The sequence below is a fragment of the Homo sapiens genome, chromosome 17, assembly GCF_000001405.40.
Source record: "Homo sapiens chromosome 17, GRCh38.p14 Primary Assembly".
Classification (NCBI taxonomy): domain Eukaryota; kingdom Metazoa; phylum Chordata; class Mammalia; order Primates; family Hominidae; genus Homo; species Homo sapiens.
The window spans coordinates 16,577,052-16,590,290 of record NC_000017.11 but is presented as its reverse complement, the minus strand read 5'-3'; the positions used below and the strand labels follow the sequence as shown (position 1 = coordinate 16,590,290).

Sequence of the window (13,239 nt, the reverse complement as noted above, 5' to 3'; positions counted from 1 at the left end):
TTACATTGGAGATTAAGTTTCCAACACATGGACATTGGAGGACACATTTAAACTATAGCATCTTCCTTCTCCTAACTTTGGGTTTTGTTTTCTCTTCTTTATCCAGCTCCTTAAGGTGTAAAGTTAGGTTATTTATCTGATATCTTTGTTTTTTAAAGGTAAATGTTTACTCGTAAAATTTTCCCTTTGAAACTGCTTTCACTGATTGTCATAGTTTTGGTATGTTGTGCTTCATTTTCATTTGTCTCATCGTATTTTCCAATTTCCCATGTTATTTTTTCTTTGACCATTGGTTGTTTAAGAGTGTGTTGTTTAATTCTCACGTATTTGTGAATGTTCCAGTTTTCCTTCTGTTAATGTTTCCTTATATTGTGGTTATAGAAAATATTGTATTACTTCAGTCTTTTAAAATTGATTGAGACTAGCTTTGTGACCTAATTTGTGGTCTAATCTGGAGACTGTTCCATGCGTGTTAGAGAATACTAGAGGATATTCTGAAGCTGTTGGGTGGAGTGTAACGGCTTTGAATAATCTGAAGTTCAGTAGTTAAAGAGGATGGCCAGGGCCAGGCATAGTGGCTCACGCCTGTAATTCCAGCACTTTGGGAGGCCGAGGCGGGTGGATCACCTGAGGTCAGGACTTCCAAACCAGCCTGGCCAACATGGCGAAACCGCGTCTCTACTGAAAATACCAAAAAGCAATAGAGGATGGCCGGAGGGAGCCCAAGTCCCTAAAACGCAAAGCTCCCTGCACTGCACCTAGAGGGCCGCAAGAGGGCGCGCGAACCCGCCCTGGCTGACTTGCCGGCGCGCATGCGTGTTCCGCCTGCGGACTGCCTTGTCTGCAGTGAGGCAGAGCGCTGCGTTCCTTGAGGACCCCGGGGAGGCGCGGTCGCGGCTTCGTGACAACCTGGGGCCGAGTCCTCCGTGAGGAAACAGCCTGTGCGGGCCCTGACGGCTGTGGAGGGAGCTGTTCCCCGGCTTCTCCAGGGACATTTTTCGGGGCTTTCTGCATGGTGCCTGGGTTTCTGCCTCACTCGCGCGCGGTGCCCCGCAGGGCCTCTGGCCAGTTCCCTCTCGCAGGGAGCGGCGGAACTCCCGGTGTCCTGGCGCGAGGTGGCGGCTTCTGGGAGAAGTCCCCAGACCCTCCGAGGAGGAGGAATCGCTGACGGCGGGAAGGGGGTGGGCGGAATCCCAGGCCGCTCCGTCCCTGTGAGCCCGGCGGGACCGGGAGACCGGCGCTCCCCTCCCGTGGACCGGCCTCTGTGAAGCCTTTAAGGTTCGTTTTTGCTACAACGTGAAAGTAGTTTAAAAACATAAGAAACTGTAAAGTGAGTGTATTAAAACTCGCATCATTCCTGGCCAACATGATGAAACCCCGTCTCTACTATAAATTCAAAAATAAGCCGGGCGTGGTGGCGCACGCCTGTAGTCCCAGCTACAGGGGAGGCTGAGGCACAATTGCTTGAACCCAGGAGGTGGAGGTAGCAGTGAGCCAAGATCACACCACTGCACTCCAGCCTGAGCGACAGAGGGAGACTCTGTCTCCAAAAGAAAAAGAAATCTGAGCGTAGATGCAAACTGAGACACTGAGACTTCCTCCTTGTAGTAGTCAGGACCAGGCGATTGAAGTAATTCTGTCCTGTGGGGTTCGGCATCATGCACGTTTCCCCTGGGCCGTCCTCTGATGCAGGGCACTTGCTCCACACTCTGGGAACCCAGATTCACCAGTCTGCCCTGTCACATAGTTGAAGGAGTTGCATTTATCTTTCTGGCTCCCAATTCCTTTAAAATTACATTTGTTGCAGAACCTCCACAAGGCGAAATGAAATAAAATTACATTTGTGACCATCAGAGAACTGAAGGAACTATTAACTGGCCGTCCTGGTTTTGCTGAGATCAGGCTGTTGACAGCTCCTGGTTGGCCCACAGCTACCTATGTCAGTTATCTCCATTAACATTTCCAAGAATCTTTGTAGGACAATTTCTCCACCTGCAAGTTCTTTCAAGTAGAACCCTTCTTTCCTTTAAGGCAATTAGCCCATTGCCAAAAGGTTTTACTGTCTTAAAGCTGGAACTGTCTTTCTGAGATCTAATTCCAGGGACTTCTCCACAGCTAAGTGAGGTGCCTCACACCAGTATTAGGTGATTCTTTGTGTGGACAGAACAGAGCATTTTCATCTTGTGTTTAAAGCAATTTCTTGGCTTCGGCTCCTCACCACTTTCTATACCAGTCTCCCATTCACGTCCCTAGTAATGCCTATGCAAAAAAAAAAAGAAAAAAGAAAGAAAAAGAAAAAGCTGACGGTGAAACCTACAGGTTTAAGGGCTTAAATCTCAGACTTTGTGTTAGGAGAAACAGGAGTGTGCTGAGAGGGCAAGCAATAAAACAAGTCATACCAAAAAGCCACATTGCTCTCTCCTAAGCCCCAACCCCACTCCACTCCTGAGGCCAGTGGTCCAGACAGAAAATAACTGGAGAAGACGAGGAGGTCAAAGGATCAGGGAACTAAGCATTATGTGAATTCACCAGCAAGATGTACAGAACGCTTGTGTTTACATTGTTTTTATGGAACTAGCAGAATAAAACTGATCTATTTTAAAAATGAAAAAAAAACTCACATCATTTTAACTTTAAATAGTTTATACCAAAGGAAAGTTTTAATACATTTGCCTTCCTGGCTTTAATGAAAGCAAACATATCAATAACATTTTAAAAATATACTTCTTAGCTTATCTCATTTTCATTTGAACATGTCCAACAATTCCTCATGACACAGTGACAGTCTTAAATAGCTGTCAATTAATTTCAGCTTACAAAAACTTCTTTTGTGGGACCCCCATTATGACTGGTATCGCTAAAAATTATGTATTAGAACATGTTGGGAAGCAGAGGGAGAAAATAATTATATATCAGATCCACTTCCACATTTAGGAAAGAACTAAGCAAAATGTGTTCATCAGTTTTGGACATTGAAACATTATCGTTTGGTTTGGTTTTTTAAATGCCAACTATTGTATCATCTGAGGAACTGACATTTAAACTGGCACTGAGCAGTGTGAGTGTGGGGTGGGAATACTGTCTGGGTATTGGTGTGGAAGTGAATGGCGATTGTGGAGCTCCGTGTAGAGATCACAGCTATGCTTGACAGTGGTTTTGAGAGGCCGTGTCAGATTCATGACTGGGTACTAGTGGAGCCATTATCTGAGATTAGAGATTAGAGGACAAGTCACTTTTATTTGGGGAGGAAGTTGAGGGCCTCAGTTTGAAATGTATTACATCTTAAGTGCCTATAACACGCAGAGACTGTGCCTCAAATGAAATCTAGACTGAGCTTTCAGATGTCATCACCATCAAGATAATGATGGGAGAAATTGCTGCAGCAAGTGAAGACATGCAGGAGGTTTCCAAGGCAGCTATAGTGAAAGGGGCACACGGGTGGGGACTGGGTCTCAGAATGTTCCCTGATACTCTTCAGGGGGGCTTTGCACAGGACACCAGCAAGGAGTGTTCGTGGACTAGGTTTGAAGACAGTCAGCCTGAGATGTCAGAGGAGTCTGGCAAAAGAATGATCTCAAAAGGAGGCCGTGGTCAAATTAGTCTTTGTTTGTTTGTTTGTTTTTGAGATGGACTCTTGCTTTGTCACCCAGGCTGGAGTGTGGTGGCGGGATCTCAGCTCACTGAAACCTCGCCTCCTGCGTTCAAGCGATTCTTCTGCCTCAGCCTCCCAAGTAGCTGGGACTACAGGCGCCCGCCACCATGCCCGGCTAATTTTTGTATTTTTAGTAGAGACAAGGTTTCAATATATCAGCCAGGCTGGTCTCAAACTCCCGAACTCAAGTGATCCACCCACTTCAACCTCCCAAAGTGCTGAGATTACAGGCATGAGCTACCATGCCTGGCACTACCCAGATATTTTAATCCAATGAGTATTTTAAGTCATTTTCTTGGGACTAAAACACAATTGAAACGTGACCTCTTTTGGGGAATTTGCCTTTTCCTAGGCTTCTCTGACATCTCAGCTGTGGAAACAATTTTAAGTCATTTTCTTGGGACTAAAACACAATTGAAACGTGACCTCTTTTGGGGAATTTGCCTTTTCCTAGGCTTCTCTGACATCTCAGCTGTGGAAACATGGAGTTGTTTGATTTCCACTTTTCTACATAAACCACTTCCTCCACTGAGTACCCTGAAACTGTCTGCCCTTTTTTGCCCCATGTCAAACTCCATGGAAAAGTGCACTTACTTGCACAACTTCCTCTTCCAAATAAGTGGCATGCTGCCCTGGAATCTCTGCTTCAGTTCACTCTCATAACGCCAGAAGACGGCTGTAGTGTCAGCTGTGATTTTCTGTGTTTGTACTAATTGGAGTCTGTCCACACGTGTTCTTCAGAAGTCAGGCAAAGAGATGCTTGGACAGTGTGCATGTCCGCTCTCTGACTCTTGCCCTCTGGGATTCTATGGGGATGTTTTAGTGTCTATAGAGGCAGAAGGGACTCACTTGATTGTGGCAGGGACATACAGGGTAGAGAGTGCTCAGGAATTATGAGCTGGGATTTTCCCATCTGTGTGGCACTGACAGGCAGAGCAACTGCAGTTGGACCACTTCCAGCCCAAACTAACAACACTGATCATATACCCATATATAAGTAATACATTTATATTTATATTTTTTAATGTATATATAATACAATGTATATCATATTGAATGAGGAGATACACTAGGCCAAAATCAAAAGCATTGTCGTGCAAATAGATTAGAAATTTCTATGCAACTCGCCCGGGCGTGGTGGCTCACACCTGTAATCCCAGCACTTTGGGAGGTAGAGGCGGGTGGATCACGAGGTCAGGGGTTCGAGACCAGCCTGACCAACATGGTGAAACCCCGTCTCTACTAAAAATACAAAAATTAGCTGGGCGTGGTGGCGGGCGCCTGTAATCCCAGGTACTCAGGAGGCTGAGGCAGGAGAATTGCTTGAACCCGGAAGGTGGAGGTTGCAGTGAGCCGAGATCATGCCACTGCACTCCAGCCTGGGAGACAGAGTAAGACTTTTGTCTCAAAAAAAAAAAAAAAAAAAAAATTCTGTGCAACTCATCAATATGGGATAATATTTTGAAACAAGTGGAAAATTAAATAAGCTTTCCAACAAAAAATTCTGACAAAAAAGAAGACCTGCATTGCCCTTGCTTACAACAAAGAAAAACAAAAATAAAAGTTTTTTTCTCTTGCAAAACATAATTTGCAAGTATGTTTAACGACAAACTTTTACAAGACAAGTGAATGTATTTTCCAATTTTGAAAATGAACAAAAAAGAAATGTAAAAAAAGTAATAATGTATAATCCGGGATGTTACGAGGAGATTACAGACATCCTAATTTCACCATTGGGTTGGAGATAGACACATTTTTCTTTCTTTTTTGTAGAGACGGGGTCTCGCTGTGTTGCCCAGGCTTGTCTGGAACTCCTGGGCTCAAGCGATCTTCCTCGGCTTCCCCAGGTGCAGGGGTCCCAGGCGTCAGCCCGCGCCCCGCCAGCGATAGACAAAATCAAACTGAACCTCCTCAGATGCTGAATATTCCGAAGTGGAAAGTTCGCTCAATGAACACACCTGATTTACAAAACTCAGCCACTGGCTCTGTACCATCTGTAACAACTTAAGCAATCAGTTAGAGCTGGTCCCTCCCTCCTCAGCCGTCACAGCTGTTTCCTCACAGAGGACGCGGCCCTGGATCGTCCGAAGCCGAAGCCGTGTGGCGCTTCCCGAGTGGGCTGAGAGGGAACGAAGCTGGTGTCCACTCCCAGGATGGGCGTCTGCAGCTGCAGACGGAACACGCATGCGCCTCACGCAGGGCAGAAAAGGCTTAGTCGGGCGCCCTCCTGCGGCTTCGGGGAGCTGCACAGGCACTTTGTACAGCACTCACTGTGCACGGTGATCCCGTGCCCCTCCCGGCGCCAATTCTCTGAAATTGACGCTGTCCCTTTCATGTGGGCTGATTTGCTGGCGTACATTGTTCGCAGTATTCTATTATGATCTCTTTTCTTTCTGTAACACCTATAGTAATGTTCCCACTCTCAACTCTAATTTCGTTATTTTGAAACTTCCCTCTTTTTCTTGGTCAGTCTAGGTAAATGTTTGTCAATTTTATCTTTTCAAAAAAAGAACTTTTGATTTTATGAAATCTGTCTACTGTTTTTCAATTGTCTGTTTCGTTTATCTACACTTTAATCTTTATTCTTTCTTTCCTTCTTCTAACTCCCGCAGTGGAGGGCAGGAGGCGAAGCCTAGGAGGCCACAGGGAAGGAACAGGACTTGAGATGGGACAAGTGAGGCCCTGCCTCTGCTGGGGACTGGAGAACCCCCGCTTCTACACCAGCTTCCGGTTGCATTCTACATTTTTCACCGTTACAGCGGGAATTTTCCAGAGCCCCTTTGAATTTTAAAATATGCTAAGCATCTAGCATTTCCACTGACCTTTTTTTTTTTTTTTTTTAGACAGTGTTTCTCTCTTTTTGCCCAGCTGGAGTACAATGGGTGCGATCACGGCTCACCGCAACCTCCGCTTCCCGGGTTCAAGCGATTCTCCTGCCTCATCTCCCGAGTAGCTGGGATTACAGGCGCCCGCCGCCACGCCCGGCTTATTTTTGTATTTTTAGTAGAAACGGGGTTTCACCATGTTGGCCAGGCTGGTCTCGAACTGCTGACCTCAGGTGATCCACCTTCCTTGGCCTCCCAAAATGCTGGGATTACAGGCGTGAGCCACTGTGCCCGGCAGGACCCTTCTTTTAATTAGTTCTATTAATTTACCTCCGTTTCCAACTGAAGAAATTATTGCCAGCTGAGAAACAGGTTCCAGCTGAGAAACAGGTTCCAAGACCACCATGTTTGCTTCAAGTATGAGTAACTAAAACATAAAAACAGGGTTACCTTGGCGGTAGACCCCCAGAGTTCAGGTCCTGACTCTGCCTCTACTCACTGACTTTGGCTAAGTCACGACATCTCTCTGAGCCTCCATTTCCTCATCTATAAACAAGACTAATGCCCTCAACCTATAACATAGAAGAAAATGCATTTATTGAATCAGTCTCATGACTTTGGGGACCTCACACCTCAGCACAGGCTAGAGAATATTTTGAGCCCATGTATCCTCACCTCTCAGTTATCTCGCTTTTCTTCTGGAAGGTAGCCTTGAGCCCTGGTGCTCTCAAGAGCTAGGCTAAGGCTACATCTGTCCCTTCTTGGGCCTCCATCCAATTTTATCATATGAAGTCCCCCCTGGAGTACATGCACATTGTCCTAGCCAGCTCCGGCTGCTTTAGGAAATTACCAAAGACGGGCTAGCTTAGACAATTAACATTTACTTCTCACAATCTGGAGGCTGAGAAGTCCAAGATCAAAGTGCCAGCAGATCAGGTGTCAGGTAAGTATATTCTTCCTGATTTGCAGGCAGCCATTTTCTCCTTGTATCTTCAATGGCAGAGAGGAAGGGAGGGAAAAAGAAAGAGAAGGCTCCCCTGTCCCTTCCTATAAGAACATTAATCCCATTCATAAGGTTGTCACCTCCCCAAGACCTAATCACCTCTCTAACATCATCACATTGGGGTTTAGGATTTCAACATATGAACTTAGAGGGACACACGTATTCAGTTCACAGCGTACCTAGTCCCTGAAGACAAGAACTACAGAGTGAAGGGACTGAATGACATCCTTCTTACTGGAGAAACATTGCCCTGTCCTACCCTAAAACCTTCTATTCACAGCCTTTGTGTGAGCATGAGAGGATTTTCGTTATCACACCTTTGTGTTGTTTTTATGAACTAAGGGTCTCATCAAAATTTTTCCCATATAGGCTCTGCTGTCCATTACTTAAGGAATGTTTAATGTTTTTCAAAATTGTCTAATTTCCTTAATAAAATATTTGCATATACAGTATCTTGTTAATGTATCTTTAAGTGTTTATTTTTGTTTTCATTCCTTTATTTTTATTATTATTTTTTTTGAGACAGTCTCTCTCTGTCGCTAGGCTGGAGTGCAGTGGCACGATCTCGGCTCGTGCAACCTCCGCCTCCCGGGTTCAAGCAATTTTCCTGCCTCAGCATCCAATTAGCTGGGACTACAGGCATGTGCCACCACGCCCAGCTAATTTTTGTATTTTTGGTAGAGATGGGGTTTCACCATGTTGGCCAGGATGGTCTTGATCTCTTGATCTTGTGATCTGCCCACCTCAGCCTCCCAAAGTGTTAGGATTACAGGCGTGAGCCACCACGCCTGGTCTGTTTTCATTCCTTAACTTTTCCTTTTTGAATATAAGATTGAAATTATTTCCCAGGAAAATTTAAAGAGCGAAAAAATTAAGGCACCTAAGAACGCATTATGAAGATATTATGCACTGTAGACTTTGCAAGAATCAGAATAGTACAAAGAACATCAATATACTCCATACCTAGATTCACATATTTTTAATATTTTCTCCATTTTTGTGGCCACTTAATAGTTTGTGCGCTGTCACTCGCTTGTGTTCTTGCTCTCTCTTCCTCTCTCCTTTCTCAGGTGATACACACACACACACACACACACACACATATATATACACATATAATATTTTCCCCTGAATTATTTGAGTTACATATGTTATGGCCGTTTACCCCTAAATACATAATAACATCTGAGCGGTTTTCCTAAGAATTGAAATATTCTCTTACATAACCACAGTACTGTTATCAACATCTATAACTTTAATCTTGATACGATACTTTCAACTATCCTACTGCCCTTTTGTAATTTTCCAAATGACTCAAAATGTCCTTTTTAACCCCCTCAATTATAGGATCTAGCCTATAGGCAGTTATGACATTTAATTACAAAGTATCTTTGCCTCCTTTTGTCTGGAATATTTTCAGTTTTTCCATTTACTGTCTGATACTTGCATTTTGTTAGTATACAGTTTCCTCATTCTCCCCCTTTTTTTTTTGAGACAGAGTCTTGCTTTTTCTCCCCGTATTTTAAAAGCACATTCCACAGTTACCTAATGTTTTGTCAAGATTAGATTCAGGTTATTCTCTCTTGGTTTAAATACCAGGTAACCTTGTATCCTGTTCAGGTTTCACACTTGGAGGCACAGAATTTCTGTCTGTAGCTGCTATGATGTGGATATTTGATGCCTTCAAATGTCATGTTGAAATTTGATCCCCAGTGTTGGAGGTGGGGAGTAGAGGGAGGTGGAGCCCTTAAGTGTCGATTAGTCCCTTCCCTGAGTACGGGATGAGGAGTGAGTTCTGGCTTTATTAGTTTTCATGACAGCTGGGGTTTTTTTGTTTTGTTTTGTTTTGTTTTGTTTTGTTTTGTTTTGTTTTGTTTTGTTTTGTTTTGTTTGAGACAGAGTCTCGCTCTGTCGCCCAGGCTGGAGTATAGTGGTGCGATCTTGGCTCACTGCAAGCTCCACCTCCCGGGTTCACGCCATTCTCCTGCCTCAGCCTCCCGAGTAGCTGGGACTACAGGCGCCCGCCACCACGCCCGGCTAGTTTTTTGTATTTTTTAGTAGAGACGGGGTTTCACCGTTTTAGCCAGGATGGTCTCGATCTCCTGACCTTGTGATCCACCCGCCTCGGCCTCCCAAAGTGCTGGGATTACAGGCGTGAGCCACCGCGCCCGGCCAACAGCTGGTTTTTAAGAGAGCCTGACACCTCCTCTCTCTCTCTCACTTCCTCTCTGGCCATATGATCTCTGCACATGTTAGCTTCCTTTCCCCTCCGCCATTTGTGAAATCAGCCTGAGGTCCTCACCAGAAGCAGATGTTGGCACCACGCTTATTGTACAGCCTGCAGAACTGTGAGCCAAATAAATCTCTTTTCTTTATAAATTACTTTATAACAATACAAAGACAGTCTCATACTGTTAATATCAATTTTGATCAACCAACCAAGGTTTTCTCTGATTTCTAGGTTATTTAATCACTGTTTCCCTCCCTGTAACTAATAAGCTGTCTGTGGAGAAACACTTTAAGCCCATGAAAACATTCTGCTCTGCAACAAAATTTCCTCCTACCTCACTAATGTTTCCCATCCATAGATGATTATTGCCTGGTCTGTCTTTACTGTAATGGTGGCAAAACAATGGTTTTACAACTCTGTTACTCTCTGAAACATAACTGCTTGATTTCAGAATCCCATTTGATCTTCCTAAGACACCTGTGAGATTAGGCAGCATGGACAATATTTCTCTCTTCATTTACAGTTTAGAAAATGGGGGTCTCCTTATCTTATACCATAATCAAAAATCAACTCAAAGTGGATTAAAGACTTAAATGTAAGACCTAAAGCTGTAAAGCTACTAGAAGAAAACATAGAAGAAAAGTTCCATGACATTGGCCTGGCAATGATTTTTTTTTGGCTATGACCCAGAAAGTACAGACAACAAAAGCAAAAACAGACAAATTGGATTACATCAAACTAAAAAGCTCGGCACAGCAAAGGAAAAAATTAACAGAGTGAAGAGACAACCCACCGAGTGGGAGAAAGTATTTGCAAACGATACATCTGATAAGGGGTTAGTATCCAAAATGTATAAGTAACTCAAACAACTCAATAGCAAGAAAAAAAAAAACTTAAAAATGGGCAAAGGACATGAACAGACATTTCTCAAAAGAAGATACATCAATGACCAACAGATTTAGGAAAATATACTCAATGTCATTAATCATCAAGAAAATGCAAATTAAATTCACAATGAGATATCATCTCATACCTGTTAGAATGGCGATGATCAAAAAGCCAAAAGATAGCAAATGTTGGTGAGGATGTGAAGAAAAAGAAACCCTTGTACACTGTTGGTGGGAATGTAAATTAGTACAGCCATTATAGAAAACAGTATGGAGGTTCCTCAAAAAACCAAAACTAGAATTAGCATATGATCCAGCAATTTCATTTCTGGGTATGCATACAAAAGAATTGAAATTAGCACGTTGAAGAGATATCTGCATTCCCATGGTCATTGAAGCATTATTCATTATAGCCAAGATAGGGAATCAACCTTAGCGTTCATCAACAAATAAATGGATAAAGAAAATGTGGTGGCCAGGCGCGGTCGCTCACACCTGTAATCCCTCCACTTTGGGAGGCCAAGGCGGGCGAATCAGAAGGTGAAGAGATTGAGACCATACTGGCCAACATGGTGAAACCCCATCTGTACTAAAAATACAAAAATTAGCTGGGCATGGTGGCATGCGCCTGTAGTCCCAGCTACTTGGGAGGCTGAGACAGAAGAATCGCTTGAACCTGGGAGGTGGAGGTTGCAGTGAGCTGAGATGATGCCACTGCACTTCAGCCTGGCGACAGAGTGAGACTCCATAAAAAAAAAAAAAAAAAAAAAGTGGTATATATACACAATGGAATACTATTCATCCATTTGAAAGAAGGAAATTATATCCTTTGCAACGACATGGATGAACCTGGAGGACATTACATTAAGTGAAATAAGGCAGGCACAGAAAGACAAATACTGCATGAACTTGCTTATTTGTGGAATATAAAAAAGCCAAACATATAGAAGTAGAGAGTAGAATGGTGGCTTCCAGTTGCTGGTGGTGGGGGTGTGTGGAGAATGGGGAGATGTTGACTAAAGGGTACAAAGTTTCAGTTAGACAGGAGAAATAAGTTTACAAGATCTGTTGTGCAACACAGTGACCATAGACAATAATAACATCTTATATATTTCAAGTTGTTAAAATAATATATTTTAAATATTTCCACCACACACAAAAAATGATAAATATGTGAGATAAGGTATATGTTAATGAGCTTGATATAATCATTTCACAATGTATACATATATCAAAGCATCATTTTGTACCCCATAAAATATATACAATTATGATTTGTCAAATTAAAAATAAAAATTTTAAATTAAAAAAGGGAAGAAAACAGAGGTGGGGCAGTGGTTAAATCATTCATTTGAGAACATATGAGGAGCATGTAGCAGAACTGGAACTCAAATCATGGTCTTTCTCTTGTTTAGGAATCTCCATTCCTGGACTTTTGAAACCCTCCAGATAACAGGAATGCTACCTGGAACCCTGGGTTGGAACTCTTAGAGAGTTCTGCTCTCCAAGATTTTGCAAATAGGACAGATAAACTTGAATCCCAAACATGTGTCTTTTCCAGTCAAGATCCATCTCTGATCCTTCCAGAGTGGAAAGTGGCCTATGTAATTAACTTGCTACCGAGCTTGATGGGCTCCTCCAGTGATTATACTGCACCAGGCATTTGGCATTGTTCTCTTGCTAGTAGGTTGGGTGTTCAAAGCATCAATAGTTAGATCAGCCTTGGAGAATGGGAGCATATGGACATCCACCCATGCACAGCCTCCATGCCTGCTTCCATGGGTACTCTATCATGCACTGTGCCAGCACTGGAGTAGCTAATGGCAGAGAATGGATGATGACAACTGGACAAGTCTTTCGTCTACTTGGTAGTTTCATGCTTCTTCTGTAGTGGATCCTCTCTGGTGAACATTAACATATGACACAAAGACTGTCACACCCTGCCATGGTTTGAATGTGTCCCCCAGAAAGCATGATGTTGGAAAATTAATCCCCAGTATCAATAGTGTTGGGAGGTGAGGCCTAATGAGAAGTGATTAGACTTGAGAGCAGAGTGAATGGATTAATGCTGTTATCATGAATGTGGGTTTGTTATCAAAGGGGAAGTTCAGCCCCTTTTACTCCCTTTCTCCCCCTCTTTGTGCTTCTGACATGGAATGATGCAGCAAGAAGGCCCTCACCAGATGCTGGCTTCTTGATATTGGACTTCCAAGCCTCTAGAACCGTGAGTCAGTAAAGTTCTGTTCATTATAAATTAGGCACTCTGCGATTTTCTGTTATAGCAGCACAAAACAGACTAAGACACACTTCATGCCCCCTAGTGTGGCTCTATCCACTTGGATTTTCCCCCAGACCTCCTTGCCTCCAGTCTTTCCATCTTCTAAGTCCCTTGACCAACCATCCAAGCCAGCCATCTTTTTTCGTGTGTATCCTTACTTCTGTCCACTTCTCTTTCTACATAAAATAAACGTCCAGGTGTTCACCAGCTCTGTCCATTGCAAGGACATTCTCTCATCAGTTTCTTTCAAGGCCACTCTTAAATAGGGCTATGATATAGGAGCTGGTACCCACATTTTCAGCTGGTACCCACAAATTGAGCAAACTCATCCATGAACCAGGGTTGGACTTTTTCTTCCTCCATT

The 13,239-nt window shown here is 43.4% G+C and overlaps 1 annotated feature.

Moving 5' to 3' along the window:
- Positions 1,082 to 1,151: an enhancer, noted in NCBI's record as "active region_11769". NCBI's record gives its function as "activates an Ori minimal core promoter by ATAC-STARR-seq in GM12878 lymphoblastoid cells {active_cell/tissue: GM12878}" and the evidence as "EXISTENCE:reporter gene assay evidence [ECO:0000049][PMID:35858748]".